This window comes from Homo sapiens, chromosome 17 (genome assembly GCF_000001405.40).
Source record: "Homo sapiens chromosome 17, GRCh38.p14 Primary Assembly".
Taxonomy (NCBI): Eukaryota; Metazoa; Chordata; class Mammalia; order Primates; family Hominidae; genus Homo; species Homo sapiens.
Genome location: NC_000017.11, coordinates 43,393,702 through 43,420,310, shown reverse-complemented (window position 1 = coordinate 43,420,310; position 26,609 = coordinate 43,393,702). Strand labels below are relative to the sequence as shown.

General features: G+C 49.2%; 1 protein-coding gene and 2 pseudogenes across 2 annotated transcripts, besides 3 other annotated features; 1 reads left to right on the top strand and 2 right to left on the bottom strand.

The window, feature by feature from the left end:
• Positions 915-1,726: an enhancer, noted in NCBI's record as "H3K27ac-H3K4me1 hESC enhancer chr17:41495953-41496764 (GRCh37/hg19 assembly coordinates)". NCBI's record gives its function as "activates a minimal SCP1, AML or CMV promoter by ChIP-STARR-seq in naive H9 embryonic stem cells {active_cell/tissue: H9 hESC(naive)}" and the evidence as "EXISTENCE:reporter gene assay evidence [ECO:0000049][PMID:30033119]".
• RNU6-470P (RNA, U6 small nuclear 470, pseudogene) lies at positions 7,781-7,884 on the bottom strand (annotated as a pseudogene).
• Positions 13,439-13,939: an enhancer, noted in NCBI's record as "H3K4me1 hESC enhancer chr17:41483740-41484240 (GRCh37/hg19 assembly coordinates)". NCBI's record gives its function as "activates a minimal SCP1, AML or CMV promoter by ChIP-STARR-seq in naive and primed H9 embryonic stem cells {active_cell/tissue: H9 hESC(naive and primed)}" and the evidence as "EXISTENCE:reporter gene assay evidence [ECO:0000049][PMID:30033119]".
• On the bottom strand, positions 19,174-21,318 carry ARL4D (ARF like GTPase 4D). 2 transcript variants are annotated; one of them, NM_001661.4, is made up of 2 exons: positions 21,218-21,318; positions 19,174-20,650 (listed from the first exon to the last, which is right to left on the bottom strand). In NM_001661.4, exon 2 carries the CDS (start codon positions 20,576-20,578, stop codon positions 19,973-19,975), a length of 606 nt encoding a protein of 201 aa, NP_001652.2. In that variant the 5' UTR covers positions 20,579-20,650; positions 21,218-21,318; the 3' UTR covers positions 19,174-19,972. The 2 variants fall into 2 exon arrangements, with proteins under 2 accessions (NP_001652.2, XP_011523084.1); XM_011524782.3 differs by lacking the exon at positions 21,218-21,318 and adding an exon at positions 21,159-21,215.
• Positions 20,691-21,194: an enhancer, noted in NCBI's record as "H3K27ac-H3K4me1 hESC enhancer chr17:41476485-41476988 (GRCh37/hg19 assembly coordinates)". NCBI's record gives its function as "activates a minimal SCP1, AML or CMV promoter by ChIP-STARR-seq in naive H9 embryonic stem cells {active_cell/tissue: H9 hESC(naive)}" and the evidence as "EXISTENCE:reporter gene assay evidence [ECO:0000049][PMID:30033119]".
• RNU6-1137P (RNA, U6 small nuclear 1137, pseudogene) lies at positions 24,220-24,318 on the top strand (annotated as a pseudogene).

The window sequence follows — 26,609 nt, the reverse complement described above, 5'->3', positions numbered from 1 at the left end:
GGGAGGCTGAGGCAGCAGGATGGCTTGAGGCCAAAAGTTCAAGACCAGTCTGGACAATGTAGTGAGACTCCATCTCTACAAAAATAATTACTGGCCAGGCGGGTGGCTCACGCCTGTAATCCCAACACTTTGGGAGGCTGAGGCGGGTGGATCACGAGGTCAAGAGATCAAGACCATCCTGTCCAATACGGTGAAACCCCTGTCTCTACTAAAAATACAAAAAAAATTAGCTGGGTGTGGTGGTGTGTGCCTGTAGTCCTATCTACTTGGAAGGCTGAGGCAGGAGAATCGCTTGAACCCAAGAGGCAGAAGTTTTCAGTGAGCCGAGATCGCCTCACTGCACTCCAGCCTGGTGAAAGAGCAAGATTTTCTGTCTCAAACAAACAAACAAACAAACAAACAAACAAACAAACAAAAAAAAACACCACCACTATTATTAGGCCAGCGCAGTGGCTCACGCCTGTAATCCCAGCACTGTGAGGCTGAGGCGGGCGGATCACGAGGTCAGGAGGTCGAGACTATCCTGGCTAACACAGTGAAACCCCATCTGTACCGAAAATACAAAAAATTAGCCGGCCGGTGGTGGTGGGCGCCTGTAGTCCCAGCTACTCAGGAGGCTGAGGCGGGAGAATGGCGTGAACCCAGGGGGCGGAGCTTGCAGTAAGCCAAGATCGCGCCACTGCACTCCAGCCTGGGAGACAGCGAGACTCTGTCTCAAAAAAACAAAACAAAACAAAACAAAAAAACAGGCTAAGGGATTTTGCTCAAAGTCCCACAGCCAGTAGGCAACAAAAACAGATTCAAAGTCAGGCAGGTTCGGCTCCAGAAGCCACACACTGGACCTCCAGGCTGTTCTGCCTTCCAGTAACTCCCTCACAAAGTTCTCATGAGCATCAAATGAGAGAAAGTGTATCAAAGCACTTTGTAAGCCACAAAGCACTGTGCACAAGTTAGAGCTGATAATGTGGCTGGACAGGACCTGCTGAGACGGTGACTGTGCGGAAAGCCACCCTCAGTCTCCTACCCTCACCACCAAGCCCGGCGTCCCTCTCTCTGCTGCCCCTCAGCTCTGAGGTTACCCAGGATGCTCCTGATGTGAGTTTTGGGGGCTGGGAGAAGTGCAAAATAATGCATTCAGCTCCTTTCCTGGTGGCTCAGATGCCTCTCAGAGACAGCCTGGAATGCTAACTCGCTCTTCAGCCGTATTTTTATTTTGGGCTCATCATCTGGTAGGGAAGACAAGCCCTGTAGGCAGAGTGGTGACTAAGGCTGGTGATTCACACGCCCTGCCGGCCTCCTGTGTGCAGCAGCAACCCTCAGCGGGGAGACTGCAGAACGTGTCCCTGCCCGCCTGCAGTGGGGACGAGGGCTGAGAGCTGGGGAAACTAGGACTTCCCTTCAGACAGAGCAGATGGTTGCCGCTTAATGAAGACGCGCTATGGTCACACACAGCAACCCCCTCCCCACACACACACACGCGCACATGCAAGAAACAGGCTCCTGCCTCAAAAAGGGCCTTGTCAGGCCTTTAGAAGAGGGCACTTGATAGTTATTTGTTGACTGAATCAGTGGATAGATGGAAGGGTAATTAGCAGCTCATATTTGCACAGCACTTTCCAGTTTACAAAGCATTATCACATAAACGAGCTCATGTAATCCTCCCAACAGAATGGTGAGGTGAGTGTCACCACTATCCCAATTATATAGATGACAAAACTGAGGCTCAGAGAACTGATGTCAATTGTTCACAGCAGATCCAGGCATTTACTGAATGAATGAATGAGGTGGTAAGCCAGGGTCTGAAATCACATTGTCTTCTCCAAATTCCATATTCTCTACCATGGCTGCTGCTGCTGTCTTTATGAAGAGTTAAACAGAGTCTCCTCTCAGGAACTGATGTTGGAGGTAGTTGTAAGTACAAGACCGTACAGAAATCACTCCCAGAGCCCCAACATCACCTTCTTTCCATGGACGGAGTGACCTGTTCTCCTCCAAGCCTGCCAAGCCTTTCCTCTCACAACCATCCCAGCCCACTTGTAACACATCTCCTTACAAGCCCATGCCCCGTATACTGTGAGCCCCAGGAGGAGCACTGGGCCTTATTCATCTGTGTCCCCAGTGTCTGGCATCACCCAGGTACTGAATGAATGAATGAGGTATGTGGCAGATTATCTTTTCCTATGTTCTCCAAAACAAGGAAACAGCAATAGCTTGACCCCCAAGATTCTGCCCAGTGGCTTGGTATCAAGGGAATGTACTGGGCCAGTTTTGAAAATCCATAATCTCTCCCTCTCTCATTGCCTCTCTCTCTCAGAAGGCTTGCCAATGCTCAGAAGGAGGCTAAATATCAACAGGGTTATCCCAACCCCCGGAGAGCAAAAGGGGACAAGCACATCTCAGCTGCTGTGCCCCAGGCAGCCCCAAAGAGGAGCTAAATTTTCTTTCTCCCTCTAAAAGGGCCTACATAGCAATGCTTCCACCCACATCTTGGCTCTCCCACACCCCGCTTTTCTGCCTCCCTGCAGACAGCCCGCTCTGCCACACTCCCACCCAGCCCTCTGCTATCAGAGCTCTGAACACCCAAAAAGGAAAAACGATTTGTGCTGAGCGCGAAGACAGAGCCAGGGAGGAAGGGAAGGGCTGCTCGCTGCCAGCTGACGTTCTGCAGACTGAGCTGCCTGTGTCTGTGCCAAGGGTGTGGCCACCGGCGAATTCTGAGAGAGATGAGGGAAGGAGAGAGAGAAAAATGTACTGATTTCCACAGCACATCTTGAGTCCTATCTTAAACTGTACTGAATTGACTGTCCTATGAGAGAGAATGAGATCAAAGGCCCGTAGATTATAGAGAACTACCAGCCATACATTCACTCAACAAACATTTACTGGGCACACTACATGCCAGGCAAAACATGCAGCGCAAGGAATGCAGATGTGAAAGACAGCACACCTGTCCTGGAATATCTCACATTTGAGTGGGAGAGACACACAAGGAAACAGGCAACTGTAATACAGCGTAATCAGTACTAAAGAAGAGACAAGCACTGGACACAGTGAGAGGCCAGAGGAGGGGGAGCTCACTCAGACTCAGGAGCAGAGGGGCAGTCAGAGAGTCTGCCTGGAGGAGGTGACATCTAACACACTGAATCGTGAGGAATGAGGAGGAATTAGATTGGTATAAATGGGAGGAAAGGCATTCCTAGGCAGCAGAAGTAGCCTGTGAAAAGGCATGGGGATGAAAGTGCATAGGCCAGCAAGTACTGGGATTTGGTGTGGCAGAGTGAGGGGTTAAGGCTCTTGTCAGAGAAGCTAAGGATTTTGGATGTTATTTTAAAAACAGCTAGAGTATCATCAAAAGGCTTGGAGGGTGTGTGACTGATCAGATTTGCATTTTGGAAAATGAGTCTGGCAACTAAGTAAAGAATGGATTCCCAGAATATGAGATGGGGGAGAAAGGGAGCAAAAGGAAGCTAGGGAAGTAACCCAGTGAGAAATGGTGAGGACCTGAATTTAGGGCAGCTCCCATTGGAAGGAAAAGGAAAACACAGATCTGCGAGGCATTTAAGAAGTAGAATTACTGGACATGGTGACCAGCATGGGGGGCACAGGCAGGGAAAAGGAGCTGATGCCCATGTTCTGACTTGGGTGTTGAGTGGGTCAGGTGAGAGTGCCATGAGTAGAGATGGGGAATCTGGGCAGAGGAGAAGGTTTAGTGGGAAAACAGATGAGTCCTGTGTGGAGTCCCTTCAGTTGGAGGCATCTGCAGACATCTAGTGGGAGAGAGTCAGCAGCAGGGTAAAGGAAAGGTGTGGGGCAAGAGGAGAGCTGGACCAGAGAGTCAAAGTAGCTTCTGTGGTTAAAAGCACGGGTGTGGAGGAGATCGTCTAAGAAAAATGTGCACATCAAGAGTGTGTGAACTCCATCTTCCTGTCCCCAGGCATGATGGGCTGAGATAATACAAGTGAAAGTGCTTAGCCTGATACATGGGTCAGAATGGATGCTCAATAAATTTTACTTGAGAGAGAGTAGGTCAAGAATCATGAATAGGCTGGGTGCATTGGCTCATGCCTGTAGTACCAGCACCTTGGAAGACCAAGGCAGTAGGATCACTTGAGCTCAGGAGCTCAAGACCAGCCTGAGCAACATAGCAAGGCCTCATCTCTACTAAAAAACTCTTTTATTTATTTATTTGTTTATTTATTTATTGAGACAGAGTCTCGCTCTGTCGCCCAGGCTGGAGTGCAATGGTGCGATCTCTGCTCACTGCAAGCTCCGCCTCCCAGGTTCACGCCATTCTCCTGCCTCAGCCTCCCCAGCAGCTGGGACTACAGGCACATGCCGCCACGCCCGGCTAATTTTTGTATTTTTAGTAGAGATGGGGTTTCATTGTGTTAGCCAGGATGGTCTCAATCTCCTGACCTTGTGATCCGCCCACCTCGGCCTCCCAAAGTGCTGGGATTACAGGCATGAGCCACCACGCCCGGCCAAAAAAAAAAAAATTCCTTTAAATAGCTGGGCATGGTGGTGTACACCTGTAGTCCCAGTTGCTCAGGAGGCTGAGGTGAGTGGATCACTTGAGCCTGGGAGATCAAGGCTGCAGTGAGCTATAATCACACCACTGCACTCCAGCATAGGCGACATAATGAGACCCTGTCTCAAAAATAAAATTTTTAAAAATCACAAATAATCATTTAGTCTAATGTTTTGCTTCCAAACATAATTGGGAAGTCCTTCTAATGTGTGTCTTGAATCCTCCTTTCATAATTCTTGCCTTTCCAGTCCTCAAGTCCTGATCGCCTTGCTCGCTATTTGCACCAGTGGCTTACTCTCTGTCCCTGCCTCCTACACTCTCCACTGTCAGATATTTTCAAGCTGTTTTATTTTCAGACAGTCTTCGTCATTGCCATCAGCTGCCTATTTGAGGTATTCTCATCAAATATTGTATTTGTGTAGCTAAACCATAACTTTCTGTAGAGGAAAGCAATGGCACAAATAATCCAAAAATGACACATTTAAGTGACTTCTAATTGGCTTGGGAAGTTGTTTTGGTCCTTGCATCTGAATGTACGTACATTAGATATTCCAAAAATCGAATTCAGGGAAAATGGCCATAGTAGCGGGGAAATGATGCAAGAAGAACTTGCCTAGAAACTTCCTAATTGTTTCATGCCACTCTCTTCAACAAGGCACCAAGCCTTCCATGCATCCGTCATTTTCTCTACCCATCCATTCCATCTATCCATTCTCCAACCCATCCATTCATCTATCCATCCATCTCTTCATCCACCTATCCTCCAAATCCATCCAACTGTCCACCTATCCATCCATCCATCTATCTAAAAATATCTTTGAGTGCCTACTCTATGCCAGACGCTGCACTAGGTGCTGAGGAATATGAAAACAAATGGGACTTGGAACCAAGAAACTTCCAGTCTGAATGGAAAGACCCAAGATTAAAAATAACTCTACCCGATAAGTACTCTAAAAGAAGAATTAGAAAAGAGAACACAACTCTTTCTGGAAGAACCAAGGAAGGCTTCATAAAAGGGGGTCTTGAAGGAGAAGAGAGATTTGGCGATGGACAGTTTTACTTCTCACAGAGATACGGGACAGAGAAGCAATATTCACCACCCCAATGCAGGTCACTCCTGGGCATGATAATCTATCTATGGGACTTCAAACTACCACATCTCTTATGGGCTCAGTATCTTCATCAGTAGATCAGAGGGATTGTATCACTAGTTTTCAAACCATGCTCTGTTGAACCTAGGGCAACAAACTGTCCTGGTTTGCCCAGGTTCCAGATATTTCTCAGGATGCAGGACTTTCAGTGCCAAAACTAGACAAATTGAGCCAGCTGGGACTGGTATGCTGCATTGGCCACTCAGAAGAAATATAAATAAATAAAGTCAGACAAACTGGGATGAGTTGGTCAATCTAACTGAACCTTATAGCTGTCATAGGGAGGCCACCAAGGCAAGGGGTAGGAGAGGCAAGATTTAGGGAGGAGGCCAGTCCAATGGGGCTCAGAGCCCCCAGTTCCACTTTAACTGGATCAGTTGTGTCGTGTTTTACACATTGAGCTTCCAGGTTAGATGTTTGTTTGTTTGTTTTGAGATGGAATCTCACTTTGTTGCCCAGGCTGGAGTGCAGTGGTGCAATCTCAGCTCACTGCAACCTCCACCTCCCAGGTTCAAGTGATACACCTGCCTCAGCCTCCCAAGTAGCTGAGATCACACCCGGCTAACTTTTTTGTATTTTTGGTAGAGACAGGGTTTCACCATGTTGGCCATGCTGGTCTCCCACTCCTGGCCTCAAGTGATCCACCCACCTTGGCCTCCCAAAGTGCTGGCATTATAGGCGTGAGCCATTGCACCTGGCCCGTTACCCTTTTTTTTTTTTTTTTGAGATGGGATTTCGTTCTTGTTGCCCAGGCTGGAGTGCAGTGGCATGATCTTGGCTCACTGTAACTTCCACCTCCCGGGCTCAAGTGATTCTCCTGCCTCAGCCTCCACAGTAGCTGGGATTACAGGCATGCACCACCACGCCCAGCTAATTTTGTATTTTTAGTAGAGATGGGGTTTCTCCATGTTGGTCATGCTGGTCTCGAACTCCTAACCTCAGGTGATCCACCCACCTCGGCCTCCCAAAGTGCTGGGATTACAGGCGTGAGCCACCGCGCCCGGCCCCATCATTCTGATTTCTATTTTTTTTGCTTTATCTGGTAAGAGGGAGAAAGGACTATAAGATAGAAATAAACATTTTAGCTCAAAAGTCTTCCTTTCTATAGAATTTTCAGAAGCTCTAAAATAAATAAGAAAGTACTAAACATGAAACGTGGTCAAGTTTTAAAATCCATAACATCCAGACCAACCTGCAGGAAGGCAGCCTTCATTTTATACCTTTCTCACTCTCCACTTGTTCTAAAATTATATCACTGACTGTAAGTGGGGTGACAAGTTTTTTTTTTAGACGGTGTCTCGCTCTGTCGCCTGGGCTTGGAGTGCAGTGGCGTGATCTCGGCTCACTGCAAGCTCCGCCTCCCGGGTTCACACCATTCTCCTGCCTCAGCCTCCCAAGCAGCTGGGACTACAGGCGCCCGCCACCATGCCCAGCTAATTTTTTGTATTTTTAGTAGAGATGGGGTTTCACCGTGTTAGCCAGGATGGTCTCAATCTCCTAACCTCGTGATCCACCCACCTCGGCCTCCCAAAGTGCTGGGATTACAGGCGTGAGCCACCATTCCCCGGCCAAGCTGGGGGACAATTAACTAGCCTCAAGAACCTCCTCTTGCTTCAGGATGGGGCAGAGTGCTGAGAGCGGACCAGGGGAAGGAGTTGGAATCAACATCCCAGCTCCCCCTCCCACCCTAGATCCCTTTGGCGGCTCTAATTGAGGCCTGTCACAAAGAGAGAAGGCAGCTGCAAATTGCATTCATCAACAAATTACAGCCAATTAGAGCCCCAGTCCCAGCCTACTGGGGGTGACATGAGGCCAGTCAAAATCCCTTCTGATTCAGCAATGCCAAAGGTTTTGGGCTGCCAGGGTCACTTTCTGCAATCCAGACCCGGAACTTTATCCTGGGCCTGCACCCTGCCTTCCGAAAATCCCTCAGGGAAGATGGGGGCTTCCCCCAACCCTCAAGAAGTCTCCAGGGTGCTTCTCTCAGCCATCACTGAAGTTCACCTAGTGATCTAGGCCCAATCTCTGCTGCTATGCTGCTTTTTTGTTAAGTTATAGACATGTTGGTTTTATTCAAAAGAATAAAATGCTTGACAAACTGAAAAATATGGAATGCTTCATCAATTTGCGTATCATTCTTATGCAGGGGCCATACTAATCCTCTCTGTATCATTCCAATTTTAGTATATGTGTTGCTGAAGCCAGTGTGTGCTACTGCTGTGCTTTAAGCTGAGTTTTCTCCAGATTTGGTCCTTGGGGGGAACTGATTTGCTGGCACTTCAAGGGCCTGCTGAGAACTCTTTGCTTGCTGGCTTTGGGCCAGCTGAGCTCTGCCATCCTTCTGCCCATCCTGACAACATTGGGCCAAAGCTAGGGTGAGGTCAACATGAAACCTGTGGAGGTGTAATGGAAGTGTCACCTCCCAGAAGGGCAGGTATGTGGCCACCCATACCTGTCCACAGCTGCTTCTTCACTCCCCTCCCTGGAGCCAGCAGCTCTGGTTTCAACAGTGCGAGGGTGTGTGTGCGTGTTTGTGTGTGTGTTCGCATGCATGTGCATGTGCATTTGTGAGACACACCACAGGACATCTACATGCTAGGGACAGAAAGATGGGGAGGGCATGACGCTGGATTTTCTCTGTTTGATCTCGAGTGTAAAAGAGCAGCCAAATGCCCTCAAATAATGTTCTTTTTCTCCCTCTCTTGCTTTTCTCCCCAGGACTCTGGCACTTCTACAAATAGAGCTGTGCCAGAAGAAAAGGAAGTTTCAGCACTCAGTCCATCCACACCCCCCACCCCCTGAAACAATAATCTCTTCCTCTCTCCCAGCCCCTGTTTGAATTGGGGAGGGGGAGGGAAAGGAGGCGTCTTTTCTGTTCTGAAGTTTCTAAGGAAGCCAGTACAGACGCACCCTTCCCCTTCCAGGGAATGTATCCTGTGATGTTTAAGTAGGAGTCAAGCCTTGAGAATGAATTTCTCTTGAACTGTCCTTTCTCCACCACAGGAGATGGGATGGGTACACCCAATAAAGGAGAAAGAGCAAGAGAAGGGGTTAGGGTCAGATGTCCCCAAGGATATCAAAGTTTTCTGCCTAAGGGAACAGTGGGGCTCAGATGACCCATAGGCAAGGAAAGAGGTCAAGGAATGACTCAGTAGCCACAGCCTCCTGGAGCCTCTTGAAGAAACTCAAGGTTTCAACCTGATAAACATTCTCAAGACAGACAAGGCAGGATCAGAAGTAGGAATCCTGGGCAACATAGTGAGACCCTGTCTCTACAAAAAGTAATTAGTTGGGCATGGTGGTGTGCACCTGTGGTCCCAGCTGCTAGAGAGTCTGAGGTGGGAGGATCGCTTGAGCCCAAGAGTTCCAGGCTGCAGTGAGCCGTGACCATGCCACTGCACTCCAGCCTGGGCAACAGAGTGAGACGCTGTCAAAAAAAAAAAAAAAAAAAGAAAGAAAGAAAGAAGGAAAGAAAGAGGAAGAAAAAGAAACAGAAAGAGAAAGAAGGTGGGACAAGGGCAGATAAGGGTTGAGGCCAGGCTGAGAGTGAGAGTAGAAAGAGGACTGGGTTGCCAAGTGTGGATAACAATCAGGGCTGTGCTTGCTCGGGTCAGCTCACTCTTCTCTTCTCAGGCTACTCCCTGAGTGGATGCCTTGGTGCTCCACCCAGATTCCCGGTGCTGACTGTGAGTTTTGGCTGCCAATGGCTCTCCATCTCTGGACTTGCCCTTGGCCTAGAGGGCAGCCAATTAGCTGACTGACAGGGACATAAAAAACTAGCCTCCCTGACTCAGGTGGGATCCTTTCTGTCATACAGTTGTCCACCCAGAGCTTCCCACAGGATCAAGCCAAAACCAGACTCAGCTGTGAAGCACATCCTTGCTTCCCCACTCTGTGCCCCACCCTCTTTCCTTTCCTCCCTTCTCCTGAGAGTTTGCCTCACAATAAACCATGTGCCGCCCAAATCCCCATCTCAGTCTGCACATCAAGGGAACCAGATCTAAGACACTTCTTTGGGTACAAATTGCACCTTAGCTCCAGTGCCTAGGATGCTGTGTCAGCCCCTAGTCAGCCTTCAGTGCACAATAAAGATTTTTAAAAATTTTTTCGGCCGGGCGTGGTAGCTCACATGTGTAATCCCAGCACTTTGGGAGGCCGAGGTGGGCGGATAATATGAGGTCAGTAGCTCAAGACCAGCCTGGCCAACATGGTGAAACCCCGTCTCTACTAAAAATACAAAAATTAGCCAGGCCTGGTGGCGTGAGCCTGTCATCCCAGCTGCTCAGGAGGCTGAGGCAGGACAATCACTTGAACTCAGGAGGCAGAGGTTGTAGTGAGCCTGGATCGCGCCACTACACTCCAGCCTAGGCGACAGAGCAAGACTCCGTCTTGAAAAAAAAAAAAAAAATTCTAGTCTCTCACTATGAAACTACAGTAAATAATGCTAAATACTATTCATATTATATGTGGTTAATTGAAAGAAGGAGTGATTGGTTGAATTAATGCTCTGGATGGGAGATAAGTAGGTGGGGGAATTTATTGTAGGACCACCCCCCCATATACACACACACGTTAACCAGATGCCCATGGCTCATCCCAGTACATCCTGTCTACATATAGGCCACCTGCTTACATCTATGCAAAGTCAGGGACAGATAATCCAGTTTGTGGATTATCCAGACCCCCAGCTGGCATGTTCCTTCTCAATATTGCCTCCCTGAACCCTCCCTCTGCTCCAGCACTTTCCCGGGGGTAGAGGGTGGGCAGAGACAGGCAGCAGGGGAGGGCAGGATGATGAAACCTCAGTCTGTCAACACTGTTGCTGCTGCCTCAGCAGTCTGATGAAAGATTAGAAACTATTGGGTAAAATCATGTTAGGAATTTTCTATGGATTCCAGGTATCTGGGCTCATCACCAAGTAGACAATTAAGAGTTGTTTGTGTGGTGAAAACACCTTGAACAAGGCCAGGAAAGTCACCTGCTAAGTAACCAAGTTTGGATCACTGAGAATCATAGTATGATAAGATACCATCTTAAAATGATTTAAGATATGCAAAGTCCTCTCCTATTCTGAAAGCTTTCCAAGAAAAGAAGTATGTGGATCTTTCAGGTTTTTCAGTCCTTCCTATCAAGAAGGCCTTCCTATAATTTACCTTCCTTCCATACTGTTACAGTTCTGGTCTGTTTCTCTTTTTTTTTTTTTCTCTGAGACAGGGTCTCACTCTGTCACTGAAGCTGGAGTGCAGTTGCAGTGGTTTGAACACAACGACTGCAGCCTCTGCCTCCTAGGCTCAAGCAATCCTCCCTCCTTAGCCTTCTGAGTAGCTGGGACCACAGGAGCCACCATGCACAGCTAATTTTTCTTTTTGTAAAGACAGGATCTTCTTTAGTTGCCCAAGCTGGTCCTGAACTCTGAGTTCAAGCAATCCTCCCGTCTCAGCCTCCCAAAGTGCTGGGATTACAGACATGAACCACTGCGCCTGGCCCTGTTTCTCTTCTGATTTCAGACAAAAAGGAGAACAAGTGTTTCATTCTTTTACTCATAATGCTCCTTCCCCCCAAATATGTGGATGCACTATCTGTAGAAACAGAATGTGAAGCCGGGCACAGTGGCTCACGCCTGTAGTCCCAGCACTTTGGGAGGCCAAGGTGGGTGGACTCCGAGGCCAGGAGTTCAAGACCAGCCTGGCCAACATAATGAAACCCCATCTCTACTAAAAATTAGCTGGGCATGGTGGCAGGCACCTGTGATCCCAGCTGCTTGGGAGGCTGAGGCAAGAGAATCGCCTGAGCCTCGGAGGCAGAGGTTGCTGTGAGCCGACATCACGCCACTGCACTCCAGCCTGGGCGACAGAGCAAGACTCCATCTCAAAAGAAAAGAAAAGAAAAGAAAAGAAAAGAAAAGAAAAGAAAAGAAAAGAAAAGAAACAGAATGTGAAGAATGTGAGCCACATATGTAATTTTAATATTTCTGATAGCCACATTTTAATGTTAAAAAGAAACAACTGAATCTAATTTTAATCATTTTATTTAACTCATTATGTAAAAAGTATCACTTCAACATATGCATAATCAATATAAAAAGTATTAATAAGAAATTTTACATTCTTTTTTCACATGAAGGCTCTGAATCTGTTGTGTATTTTACACGTACAGCATATCTCAGTTCAGACCAGCCACACTCCCCATGTTCAATCACCATGTGTGGCTCATGGCTGCCATATTGGACACCACAGGTCTAGAGCTTGGGAGTCTCTTCTTTGACACCTGCCCTACAACCTACTCTTCTGGAGTAGGAGGTAGAGAATGTGAATCTAGATACAGCCTATCCTCAGGTGACAGTGGGAGGAGTTGAAGGACAGGAGTGGTGGACAGAGTCTGAGAGTGTCTCAGGCCAGGTAATTACAGGGAAAGGAGGAACAAAACTGTATCTATTAAACCTCAGACTCAGGCCTTTCCTCCTGAGGAGTAGGTGGAGCCAAAAAGGTGCTCCGAAGCCTACAATGCTCCAGGTCCCTCATTAATCAGAATACTTAATTCTGGCTCCAAGCTGACTTCTTTTCCTTACCTCCTCCAGGAAGCCTTCCCAGATAAATTCTCCAACCTTAACTGATAGAGACCCTGTCTCTAAAAAAATAAAAGAATTAGCTGGGCATGGTGGCACATGCCAGTAGTTCCAGCTACTTGGGAGGTTGAGATGGGAGAATCGCTTGAAACTGGGAGGTCAAGGCTGCGGTGAGCCAGGATTGTATCCCTGCGCTCCAGCCTGGGTGACAGCAAAACTCTGTCTCAAAAACAAGCAAACAAATAAAACAAAAACAAAAAAACAGATGAAGAGAGAAAGACTATTAAAGAGCTTCCCATGCCCACCTTGTACTGAGAACCATAGAAAGTGTACTAGAAAAGATCTGCTATTGCCTACTCAATCCCCTCACTTTACAGATGAGTAAACTGAGGCCAAGAGACTAGAAATGGCTCGGTCAAAGTCACAGAAGTTGGTGGCAGAGCCAAGTCTTAACCTGTATGTTGCCTTGTGGGTTACTGTTTGGGGCACTGCAAAGTCAGACTGGTGGCTCTGTTCCTCCCCCATCAGGCTAGGAGAGTTCCAGAGAGTGAGTAAGCAGTTCTGTCTTCTCTCTCCTTAAGGATAAGAGAGGCATCTGGAATGCAAAGCAATGGTAATCTTATAAAAACAAATACAATCAAAAGCACCAAACTTCACTTTCAACAAGCTTTTGAAACCCAGCTGTCCCCCCACCCTCCTCCAAAGGATTTCTCATGAGATTTAACAAATTTAATAGGAGGAGGTAGGGACTGCTAAAGAGATAAGCTCTCCCGCTTGCTCACCTCCCCACCTCCCCACCTCCCCACCTCCCCACCTCCCCACCTCCCCACTCCACTGAGGAGGGGCATAGACCCAGGATTTTCCCAGGAGCCTTAAGTCAAGCCCCAAACACTCCAGAGTGACCAAGATATCTGCTACTTCAGGCTTCTGCTTCCTTTTACAAGAGTCCTTGAGCTATAGCAGTTGGTGGGAGTCTCTACATGGGGGTGGGGTGTCTGTATGGGGGAGGTCCAGGGCTCCACTGCTGCCCAATTCATTCGGGCTGAAGTTTCCTTCTCTGTGTTCCCTTCAGAGCATACACTCTTGGTCTCAGCCTCACTTCCTCCCTAAGCCAAATCCCGGGAATCTATTTCAGGGCTTGTTTCGCCCACTCTGCCTGACGTCTGTGACAAGCTGGGTGCTAGGGAGTCCTCACCATCTGCCCACCTCCGCCACCAGCCAGGCAGTCCCAGGTGGCGCTCAATCCTTAGCCCCGGAAAGTGAGCCCAAGCTTACTCGCTATCCCTGCAAATCCTCTGCTGAGTTGCTGGTGATTTTATTCCTTACCTCCCAAAAAGCACAGGCGCCTTTACTGGCAGCTCTGGTGAAAAAAATTTTAAAAAAATAAAAAATAAATAAGGAGGCCAGGTGCAGTGGCTCGTGCCTGTAATCCCAGCACTTTGGAAGGCCGAGCCGGGCAGATCACCTGAGGTCGGGAGTTCGAGACCAGCCTGACCAACATGGAGAAACCCTGCCTCTACTAAAAATACAAAATTAGCCAGGCATGGTGGCGCATGCCTGTAATCCCAGCTACTCAGGAGGCTGAGGCAGGAGAATCACTTGAACCCAAGAGGTGGAGGTTGTAGTGAGCCGAGATCGCGCCATTGCACTCCAGCCTGGGCAACAAGAGTGAAACTCCGTCTCAAAAAAGAAAAAAAAAAAAAAAAAGCAAGAGCACTGTAATGTCTCCTCTACCATATACACACATCTTAGCTTGAAAAAGCCTTGAGATCTGGGAATAGAGGATGAGGAAGCTGGATTTAATTTCCCTCCCACCCAACCTCTACACAAACACATAAACTTTGGCAGTATCTATGACAACTTTAAATACATACACCCTTTGACACAACAATTGCAACTCTAGGAATATATCTTATGGGAAAGCTTCCCCAAGTGTACCAAAAAATATATATGCAAGGAGGACCATGGCTGTGGGCAGACTGTGTCTTCAACAAGTGATTTAATTAATTAATGATGGTACATTCATACAATGGAATCTCATGTGGTCATCAAAAAGAATGAGAAAAATCCAGATGGAAGCCTTCCCTTCTGAAGCCCCTCCTCATGAGGGCAAAGATGGCAGTGGTATAATGGAATAATGGCATGCATGGAATAATGTCCAAGATATAAATGAGAAAAGCAAAACTGTTTGCTTTATATAATTCCATATATGTTCTATAGACATACCTCTTTTGTACATGCAGAGAAAAAAATTCCCAGAAGAATATATAAAAACCTGTTCACAACGGTTAGCTCTAAAGTTGAGATTATAAAGTTTCTTCTTTTTCTTTTTTTTTTTAGACAGGACCTTACTTTGTCCCCCAGGCTAGTGTGCAGTGGTGCAATCTTAGCTCACTGCAGCCTCGACCTCCCAGGTTCAAGATATACTCCTGCCTCAGCCTCCCAAGTAGCTGAAACTACAAGCATGTGCCACCATGTCTGGATAATTTTTGTATTTTTTGTAGAGATGGGGTTTCGCTATGTTGCCCAGGCCGGTCTTGAACTCCTAAGCTCAAGGGATCTACCCGCCTCAGCCTCCCAAAGTGCTAGCATTACAGGCATGAGCCACCGTGCCCAGCCAGTTTCTTCATTTTCTTTTTCTTTTTTTAATGTTTCATTAAACAAGTTGTGAGATTAGGTTTCTTCATTTTCTAAATTTAGATTTCTTCCACATAGAGATCTATAAGATCTATTACTTTTCCAATGAGGGAGAGAAAATTTTTTTTAAAAAGAAGGAGCTGGCCGGGTGCAGTGGCTCATGCCTGTAATCCCAGTACTTTGGGAGGCCAAGGCGGGTGGATCACCTGAGGTGAGGAGTTTGAGACCAGCCTGGTCACATGGCAAAATCCCGTCTCTACTAAAAGTACAAAAAATTAGCCAGACATGGTGGCATGTGCCTGTAATCCCAGCTACTCCAGAGGCTGAGGTAGGAGGATCACTTGAACCTGGGAGACGGAGGTTGCAGTGAGCCAAGATCATACCACTGCACTCCAGCCTGGGTGACAGAGAGAGACTCCGTCTCAAAACAAAAACAAAAACAAACAAACAAAAAACTCTCAGGGCAAAGTAAAAATTTAAAAAAAAAAAAAAAAAGGCTGGGCGCGGTGGCTCACGTCTGTAATCCCAGCACTTTGGGAGGCCGAGGCGGGTGGATCACAAGGTCAGGAGATCGAGACCATCCTGGCTAACATGGTGAAACCCCGTTTCTACTAAAAATACAAAAAAATTAGCCGGGCGTGGTGGCGGGCACCTGTAGTCCCAGCTACTCAGGAGGCTGAGGCAGGAGAATGGCATGAACCCGGGAGGCGGAGCTTGCAATGAGCTGAGATCACGCCACTGCACTCCAGCCTGGGCGACAGAGCGAGACTCCATCTCAAAAAAAAAAAAAAAAAAAAAAAAAATAGGAACATGGCTGGGTGTGGTGGCTTGTATTGCTAATCCCAGTGCTTTGGAAGGCCAAGGCAGGAGGATCGCTTGAGGTCAGGGGTTCCAGACCACCCTGGCCAGGCAAGAGGGCAAGGCCCCATCTCTACAAAAATAAAAAATAAAAAGAATAGGAATATCTAACATGTTCAAAAAAATTTTTTAAGGGAACAGCGAATACCCTCTTCTGGATCATCCAGAGGAGGAGGTCTCATGCATCCACCCACAAACTCCCCAACAGATGGCCTTGGAAATGAAGTGCAGCCACACTGCCCACCCTTTCCAGCTGAATGCTGGCCTGGGTCTCCCTTGCCACCCTCACTCCCTCCCTTTCCTCTCTACCCACTGGCCCCATTCAAAACAGGCTTGTGTTAGAGAACATGCTGTCCTGTGTGCTCCTAGCACTTGGGCAGAACTCAGCACTTCCCAGGCCCTGGTGGAGGTGTCCATCTCAAGAAAGACTTGCAATGACACGTGGTCAGGATAAAGGAAGGATGGGAACTTCTGGCCAGATTTGAGGCCAGACCTCTGCTGGGCTTAGGAGATAAAGCTCTCACTCCCCAGGAAGGGGAGTGAGAGAGCGGAAAGCTGGTCCTTAATCTAATCAAGGAGAGGGAAGAGGGAGGGAGGGGGGAATCTGAGCTCTGAGATAACTGTGCTCGCTCCCTGTCTCCTACCTCCTATCCTCTGCCCTGGGAGTACAAAGACCTGGCCTGGGAGGAAGGAGCTGGGTGCACTGCTAAGTGGCCGTGTATCCGCGGGCAAGTCACTGCCCACTCTGGGCCTTAGGGACTTCTTTCCTTCCTCTGTCTTCCTTGAGCCCTTGCAGCATGGAGAGGACTGGAAAGGGCATGGGAAAGTGGGGGACCACTGCCATCTTTGCCCTCATGATGAGGAGCTCCAGGAAAGGAAGGCTTCCATCTGGATTTTATGTTCCAACCTGTGCAAGAAGGGGTGGCTGGGTGGGGAAGGACAGCTCAGAAGAAAGCCTCAACTCTGGGGTTGGGCATGGTGGCTCACGCCTGTAATCCCAGCACTTTGGGAGGCTGAGGCAGGCAAATCACTTGAAGTCAGGAGTTCAGGACCAGGCTGATCAACGTGGCGAAACCCCATCTCTACTAAAGATACAGAAATTACCCAGGCATGGTGGTGCGTGACTGTAATCCCAGCTACTTGGGAGGCTGAGACATGGGAATTACTTGAACCGGGGAGGTGGAGGTTGCAGCAAGCCAAGATCGCACCGCTGCACTCCAGCCTGGGTAACAGAGGAGGAAAAAAAAAAAAAAAAAACGGCCTCTACTCTGGAACTCTGGGTCTACAGCAGGTTTCCCTCAACTTTACAGGCAACTAGCCTCAGCCACACCACTCTTGGCCCCCAAGGAAGAGCTCCTCAGCACCCATGCCAGGGTCTCGAAGAAATCCTACTTAATAGAGAAGCCAGTACAGGGCAAATATAACCTCACTCTCCATCCTGATCACACCCTCATTCCTTGCCCTTGCCCTGAGTTCAAAATGCAGAATCTCTGGGCAGGACTGGAGAGTGAGAGGTTCTCTCTCCCTCTCTCATCCTGCAGATAGGAAGTGATCCCTTCCCTTCCAGCTCTCCAGTCCCTTTGATGAGCCAAGGCAGGAGGATTATTCCAAAGCTCCTGACTCTGACCCGGCCACAATTTGTGGCTTTCTACTCAGAATTCCCCAGTGTTCCCCTCTCCCCACTACTCTGGCAGAGCAGTTGGCTTCTCCGTCTCTCTCTGACACAAGCCCCCATCTTCCTTTAGTGCCACCAGCTGGACAGTCAGGCCAGAGGGACTGGGGAAGAGCCTGGGACATTCAAAGGCCTCCTGTGGACCATGATCCCTGACCGCCCCCAGGGCTGGGCATGGGGAAGCAGAAGATACCTGTTTTAAGCAGGTAGGGAAGGAGTGTGGTTGGAAGAGCCAGAATCAGGAGCTGACATCTTGGAGGCCCCTCTGCTAGGGATTGGGGAACACCTCTGCACCTCTTCCCCCAAATCTGGAGACCTAAGTACACCAAGTGACAAGAAATGAAAATGTATAATTGAAGATTTTAAGACAAAAGAGCAGAATTTGGGTGGGGTGGGGAGGAAAGATCTCCTGGCAGGACAGAGGGTCAGTTCTGGCCAGTTCCTTTCCAGCCTGGACTGGGGCCTCAACCTGTCCTTGGGCTATAGGACTGTGCCCCAAAAAGACTGGGAGAGGAGTCGCAGGTGTGTCTGGGGGAGGGGCAGGTAGCACATGTTCCCAGCAGAACCAGCCCAGCAGTTCTGTCAAGCAGGCCCTAGCACTGACGCACACTTGGGCACCCTTCCGGATCAATGCACACTCACCCCAATCCTGCCAGCTACAGGGATGGGGAGGGGACCAAATCTGAGCTTCTGGCAGCGCTGGGTAGGAAGAAGCAAGTTCTTTAGGAAACCTTCCCCAGAAGTGGGGGTTGCCGGCACCTTCTCTTTCTCCCCAGGTCCTTTCATCTGATTCCGGAGAAGAGGAGACAGAATTGGGGAGAAGCAGGGTGTGAACGCTGAACCTGCTCTGGGGATTGTGTGTTTGCACAAAAGGTGGCAGGGGGTGGCTGGAGGGCTCGACAACTGGAAAGAATTGTGCTTGTTTTTTTTCTTTTTTAGAGACATGGTCTCCCTATGTTGCCCAGGCTGGTCTTGAACTCCTGGGCCCAAGCCATCCTCCTGCCTCAGCCTCCCAAAGTGCTGGGATTACAGGCGTGAGCCACTGTGCCCGGCCTTGTGCTTAGTTCTTACTCACTGCTCCCACCCAGAAGATTAAGAGGATCTAAGGGTTCTGTTATCAGACATAGCTGGCCCTGGTGCTGGTGAGTAGGGGCACTCAAGCCCTTGTAATATTAGCATTTTATTCTTACAATCACCACAAATACTGGGGGCTTATGTCTTCCCCCTTCTATCTTGGAGTCTGGAGGGTGTATGTCCAGCAGTCCTCTCTGCCACCAAGCACAAACAGCTACTACTTCTGCCCCTCTCGTGAGAAGAGCTACCATTCCCAGAGCTGGAAAACTCATGGCTTAGTCACCAGGGCCAGGCTGGCTCAATCCAGCCCAGGCCTCCCTAGCACCAGCCGCTGCCATCATGCCAGTGAGCCAGTCAGCAGGATTGAGTACACAGAGGTGACTTAAGGCCAGGGAGGAATTACTTTCCACTCTCACCACATCTTACAAGGAGGAAAAAAATCAAACCAACCTAAGACTGGGGAAGTGGGGAGGATGGGAACAGAATGGCTCTTTGAGGACTTACCTATATAGACTTAGGTGTCACCAAGGTCAAGAACCTAGGAGTAGCTCAGACTAGCAAAATTTGAAGTTAAATCTGCAAGGAGCAGTTGATATAAGGGACAAGTAAGACCCAGAGGATGAGGGGAGGGGTGTTAAATCAGAGAAAAAGGAAGTGACCCCACCCAAAAAACTACAGAGATCAGGCAATAGCTTGAGGGGTTTTCCACTCCCCCCTATAATTTTCACAAGCCATCCCGTAACACACAATCTAATTTTTATAAGTGCTTGCTTTGCAAATTCAGCTTCAAGATAAATCTCCCTCCCCCTGCGCCACAACCCCATATAGAAATCTTGAATTGTCTCTGGGGCAAGATAAGGAGAGGAAAATGCCCCAGACCAAGGTAAGAGCTACAGTTATCAGTCTTTAATAACTTACAGGCAAATGCTAAAAAATAGTTAATAACAATAATACAGAGGACACACACAGCTTATAAAAAGGGTCATGGATCTACAAATGTGGGGAGGGGTTCTTGGCACTTTCACAGACACAAAAATAAAAACTATGTGACTGGTATTCCTAGAAAAGCAGCCTGGGGAGACTCCCCAGTTGGGGGACAGAGGAAGGGGAGATAGTTATTTCATCCCAAACACATTCTCCAAGTCACTTCCATCCCCCCGCCCCCAAACACATCCAATTAAAAATTTTTAGCCAGAGAAGAAAAATAAGAAACAGGGTCGAGGTAGAGTCACAGTTTACATTTACGTCTCCACAGTCCTGCAGCGCCCACTTCTCCAGAGAGGATGAGAGAGATATGCAAAGACATCCCATCTCCCATCCCCACCCCAGTGTGGCACCAAAACGGGACACCCCATGCTCCTCTCTCCTTCATTGAGGTGGACAGGTCCTGCACCCCAGTCTGACTGAGAGGTCACAGGCTGGTCCCACCCTGCTGTCCAAGTGTGCAGACCCCTACTAGGTGGGAGGAAAGGGAGGGGGGGCTTGGGTCACCGTCTCTTCTTGCCACCCCGAGCTGCCTTCTTCCTCTTGAGGATCATCTCATAGAGGCGCTCAAGGCCCTGCTGCAGGCCCAGACCGTCCACAGCGCTGCAGCCTTGCACATGAGTGAGAGTGGCGGCTGCTAGCTCTCGGACTGCCAGCCTCTTCTCCACCTCAGCAGCGCTCAGTGCCCCGGGCTGGTCCTGCTTGTTGGCCAGCACCAGCACTGGCACGCCCTGGTTGTCCGAGGCCCGGCTGATTCGGTGCAACTCCACCTTGGCTTCCTCCAGCCGCTCAGCCTCCGCAGCGTCCACCACAAACACTAGACCGTCTGTCCGGCGGGTATAAGAGCGCCACAGTGGTCGCAGCTTCTCCTGCCCCCCGACGTCCCACACTTGGAAGGTGATGCCACGCGATCCCCCGAGGGGCACCCGGATCTTCTCGGTGTTGAAGCCTTTGGTGGGGACACTCTGGACAAACTCCTTGAACTTGAGGCGGTAAAGGAGGGAGGTCTTTCCAGCAGAGTCCAGCCCAATGACCACGACATGCAGGGCTTGGAAGTGGGGCAAGAAGGAGGAGGCAGTGGGCGCCATCTCAGTCAAGTGGTTCCCCATAGTGAGCTAAGGCGCCTAGTAGAGGCAGGGAGGCCTTGAAATTGAAGGTTCCAGGGAGCACAGCTGGGTTATCTGAACCAAGAAAAGGTCATGGGAGAAAAAGGAGACGTTTAATAATACACACAAGATTTGCAACTTCTTGATCCCTTCCTAAATCACCCTCCCATCCTTCATTTTTAAAATTCCTTTCCTTTTTTTTTTTTTTTTTAAGGCATAACAGAGGTGTTCCCCCACTCCCTGGGGGGGTCGTGAGGGGGGCGATGGGACCTAGAGAGACTCCCAGGTCCTGGGCCACTCAAGTGGGGGGTGAGGGCTCGATCCATGGACAGTGGGCTTCTAGAGCCTCTTCTCAGAGCTTATGGCGCCATCCCCCAGGCAAGATCCCCGAGGGACGGGGGAAGTCGACAGTGCCCCCAAACTAAGAGCTAGGGTGCAGACGCTGAGACCGGAGATTGAGTCCGGCTCCCACCCGCCCTCCGCAGCCCCAAGCCGTTGACACGGTGCCCTTCCTTACTCCGCGACCCTCGCCCCACCGCCCCGCGACACTCTCCTGCCCGCCCGCCCTCCTCCGATGGCCGACCCCAGCTCCAGCGGCCCGGCACCGGGACCGCCTCAGCACGGTCTGCAGGGTCCGTTTACCTCTCGTGAGCCGCGCTCTCCTCGAGCCTTTCCCGGTGAAACACCGCAGCCGCCCCGCGAGACCCCCGCAGACACCCACCGCGCCTCCAACCGCTGCCTCTGCAGAGCCTGCCTAGGGTTCGGCCTTAAAAACCCGCGTGTGACGTCACAAGGCGCGGGACAATCAGCGGCGGCGGGGCGGAGCGTGGAGCTACGGGCGCTGCAGCCCCCACCATACGCGGAGGGGCGTTTGCTTAATCCGTGGCTGCTCTATTTGACCTTTTCTACCACACTCTAATATTTGGAATTAAACTTGGAATTAATGCAGAATGGAGGGTGGGAGGGGCGAAAGGAACGTGCCTGGCAACGTTTGACTCGGGAGGAAAGATATGAATACCCTAATATTCTCACTACCATCGCATCCCCCTCCACCAGGCCGAGATACCACCCCACATGGACACTCCTTCGGCCAAAGGATCTACTCGGAGAGGCTGACAAGTCTTTCTCCTTTATCTTTCATAATTCAATTGTCAAACCTAAGGTGAACCTGGAGCCCCATAAAACAGCTGCTTCATAGTGCTAAGCCCATTATCTGCAATAGCCTGTTAGGGACTGTTGTCTGCCTTTTACAGATACACAAAGCCCTGAAGGGTTAAATGACCTATTTGAGGTTACACTCAACAGTATGTTTAGGCGCAGTGGATCATACCTGTAAACTCAGCACTTTGGGAGGCTGAGGCAGGCACATCACTTAAGCTCAGGAGTTCCACCAGCCTGGACAACAGGGTGAAACCCCATCAGTAATAAAAAGACAAAAATTAGCCGGGCGTGGTGGCGGGTGCCTGTAATCCCAGCTACTCGGGAGGCTGAGGCAGGAGAATCGCTTGAACCCGGGAGGCGGAGGTTGCAGTAAGCTGAGATAGCGCCACTGCATTCCAGCCTGGGCGACAGAGCAAGACTCTGTCTCAAAACAAAGCAAACAAAAAAAAAAAACCAGTGTGTTTATTGGGCTGGGCACGGTAGCTCACGCCTGTAATACCAGCATTTTGGGAGGCCGATGTGGGCGAAGCACCTGAGGTCAGGAGTTCGAGACCAGCCTGGCCAACATGGTGAAACCCCGTCTCTACTAAAAATACAAAAATTAGCTGGGTGTGGTGGCGGGCGCCTGTAATTGCAACTATTCGGGAGGCTGAGGCAGGAGAATCACTTGAACCCGGGAGGCGGAGGTTGCAGTGAGCTGAGATCACACCATTGCACTCCAGCCTGGGCAACAGAGCAAGACTCTGTCTCAAAAAAAACAAAAACAAAACAAAACAAAACAAAAAACACTGTGTTTATTGACCTCATTCATACTGTGTGCTCTGAATGAGACAGAGAGATGGTGGAGAAATAGAGGATGTCTCGGCTGTAGAATCAGGCCTCAAAGGGCTTAAGACTTAAGACTGGCAATGACAGAATGAGACAGCACATGTATTGGGTCTTTGTAAATCATGAGATAGCACTTGTAGGATTTCAGAGAAGAGAGAGAATGTGTCAACTGGAAGCTTCTGAAAAGGTTTATAGACGTTCTTTAGCCCTATCTAGGACTGGTTAGGAGGGGCACAGGAATGAGTAGGGTCTCCCCAGCCACTGCAGCCTGCTACAGTCTGGGCAGCCCTGAAAGGAAGGAGATGTCACAAAGGGCAGTGTGACCAAAAGGACAACAGCAATTAGGTGGGGGAGAGAAGAGGGCCAATCAAAGAAGAATGAAATTGTAAATTGTAACTTTATCTATTTATTTATTTATTTATTTATTTATTTATTTTTGAGACAGAGTTTTGCTCTTGTTACCCAGGCTGGTGTCCAATGGTGCGATCTCGGCTCACTGCAACCTCCACCTCCCAGGTTCAAGCAATTCTCCTGCCTCAGCCTCCCGAGTAGCTGGGATTATAGGCATGTGCCACCACGCCCGGCTAATTTTGTACTTTTAGTACAGACAGGATTTCTCCATGTTGGTCAGGCTGGTCTCGAACTCCCGATCTCAGGTGATCCGCCCGCCTCGACCTCCCAAAGTGTTGGGATTTACAGGCGTGGATTATTTTATTTATTGTGTAATTCAGTATTAATCTTTTTAAGGGCTATGTGTGAGAGGGATTGGAAAAAGGAGAAGGGAAGTCATTGCCAGACAGCACGGCCCAGCCTTTTCCTGCCCACCCTCCTCAATCAAGTGCTGATAAATAAGCTTCCCATCTGTTTGTCACCAGTGTGCTTTGCCACCTCCTTTTTCTCCCCTCCACTACAAAACCAGCCACCTGGTTTCCCCAGCAATGCAGGGAGCCTCCCCAAATCCCTAAAGACCTTAGGAAATTAGTCTAAGATTAAGACCTTAGGAAATTAGTTTGTTACACCCCAAGTTGGAGGGTGACAGGTTGCAGCAGCAGCTAACGTACAGGAGACAGACCTGAGCATGGTGAAGTTAGGAGAGGGGAAGACGGAGCAGGCCCAGCGGTTGAGAACCACTGCACTGTTGAGTGGCCACTGCATGCCAGGCTCTGGTCTAGGAACTTTGCTTACTTTTCCTTTTTTAATACACAAGTCAAGCCCATGAAGTAAGTATGGTTAGTCTAAAAAGAAGAAACTGAAGCACAGAAAGGTTAGGTAATTTGTTGAAGGTCATCCAGCTAGAAACTGGCCAAACCTGGCTTTGAACAAATGTTACAATGGCTATGAGACTGAAAACACACAAAAACTGAAAATACACAAGTTGTCTTGTTTCTTCCACAATCTTTGAAGCTTCTTTAACATGGCTCCTATAATCTGTCTTGGGACTCACATCCAAGACAGAAATTGTCACTTATCTGATAAAGGAAATGAAACTGACAATCCTACCCCACCCTTCCGTCTTTCATGTTTGCCAGAGAAGGTGTTAATGAACAAATGGGAAGGAGAAGGTGGGGCTGGGGAGGGGTAAAAAAAGGGGCCCAGCTCGTCCAGGTAGCACTAAGCTATGGGCTTACACTAATCCCTGCAGAGAACATCTGAACATTTGTACATTAAGCAATCATTTTTTTTTGAACGATACAGAAATTAGCATGGCCCCGTGCAAGGATGACTTGCAAATTCATGAAGCATTCCCTATTTTTTCAAAATTAAAATAAAAATAATTTTTTTTTTTTTTGAGACGGAGTCTCGCTGTTTTGCCCAGGGCGGACTGCAGTGGCGCTATCTCGGCTCACTGCAAGCTCCACTTCCCGGGTTCATGCCATTCTCCTGCCTCAGCCTCCCGAGTAGCTGGAACTACAGGTGCCCGCCACCGCGCCCAGCTAATTTTTAGTATTTTTAGTAGAGACGGAGTTTCACCGTGTTAGCCAAGATGGTCTCAATCTCCTGACCTCGTGATCCGCCCGCCTCGGCCTCCCAAAGTGCCGGGATTACAGGCATGAGCCACCGCGCCCGGCCTTTTTTTTTTTTTTTTAAAGACAAGGTCTCACTCTGTCACCCAGGCTGGAGTGCAGTGGCGAGACCATAGCTTACTGCAGCCTTGAACTCTTCGGTTCAAGAGATCCTCCGCCTCAGACTCCTGAGTAGCTGGGATTACAGGTGCGTGCCACCACATGTGGCTGGAGAACTACTTTAGATTGGTGGAAGAGTGTGCAGGAGAAAGTTTCAAAGCGGCGACGCTGAGCCAAGGTTTAAGTGACACTGAGTCAGATAAGCATCATTCTTCCTCAGAGCTGTCTCCTCCACCAGACTACGTGATCAAGGGCAGCAGCTGGTTCTTATCTGTAGCTCTACCATGCCCAGCACCATGCCTGGCACACATAGGCAGTCAGAAAATCTTGTGTGAATTAATGAATGCATGATGGAATAAATGTACTCAGAGGGCTCCCTGAGTAGGAGAACCAAACCTCCACCCTTAGCGTGGGAGTTTCCCAGCCTGGGGTCCTTGGGCCCTTGGGCCCTTGGGGGTTCTGTTGATACTGGGTTGGCCAGGAATTCCTACAAACCCTGCATTTCTAGGCAGTGTCTGAGTAGTATAGAACTCTCAGGCCTTTATTGGAGAGGAGGAACTTAAAGGAGAAAAACAAGGACCAAAAATGGGGATGACACTGGAGAGACAGGTTGCCCTTAGGACATGCTGGAACACCAGACTGAGATTCAGTGCGTGAGTCCCATCCTTCCATTCCTCACTAGTAGAGTGACTTGAAAAAGTAAAAAGCCACTTCCGGCCGGGCCCAGTGGCTCGCGCCTATAATGCCAACACTTTGGGTGGCTGAGGCGGATGGATCACCTGAAGTTAGGAGTTCAAGACCAGCCTGGCCAACATGTTGAAACCTCGTCTCTACTAAAAATACAAAAAAATTAGCAGGGCGTGGTGGCGCACGCCTGTAGTCCCAGCTACTCCGGAGGCTGAAGCAGGAGAATAGCTGGAACCGGGAAGGCGGAGGTTGCAGTGAGCCGAATTGCGCCACTGCACTCCAGCCTGGGCGACAGAGCGAGACTCCGTCTCAAAAAAAAGTAACTTCCCCACCTGGGAGCCTCGGTTTCCTCATCCTGTAATGAGGGGCTTTAGATGTCTCCAGGTCGTTTCCCCATAACAGCCCATGCTCTGAAGTAAGGGAGGGTAGGAGGATGGGTGGAGCTCTTCTAGGAAGTGGCTGAGAACATCCTTGTCTCTGCAGCATCTTAACCAAGTACTTGTCTTCGTGAACAAACGAGGGAAAGAGGAGTCTGCAGGAGTAGGGGGTGGGGTGGGGGAATGGACGCCACGGAGCAGTTACCAGCTCGGCAATCACGAAGGCCCATTTTTCAAATCCCAGTTCTGTTTCCTCATGAACAAAATTGAGAAAACCCAACCTATCGCTAAGTATGAGTGTGGGGCAAAAATGTGCGAAAGGGCCCCAAAGATACCCTTCTCCCCAACCAGGAACTCTTTCCCTGGCAACCACCCCAAAATCAAGGCCTAGGGTGGAGCCAGGGGCTAGAAATAAGTAGATGCTGCCCCCTGGTGGATGTATTTGTCACCGCCTGATTGGTGAAGAAAAGCGGAGTCTTAGTGGATGAAGTTATTCAGGTTCCTTTGTCAGCTCCCGAAGTCTCCTTTCAGACAGGGCCTTTCCTACAGTTTCAGGTTGGAGGTAGAAAATACACCCTCTTCAAGTTTTTAGTGTGTGTGAGATACCAAATTAAAATGAACACTATTTGAGCAGAAACTCTAATTTTGATGACATTTTCCATGTATTTACAGAGGGTCTAATAGGTCCAGGGAACACTGAGGCAGGCAGGAGAGGGCTGCAGGGTGGGGAAGATTTTTTTTTTTTTTCCTAGAGAGGGTCTTACTCTATGACCTAGGCTGGAGTGCAATGGTGTGATCTCAGCTCACTGCAACCTCTATATCCTGGGCTTCAGTGATCCTCCCACCTCAGCCTCCTGA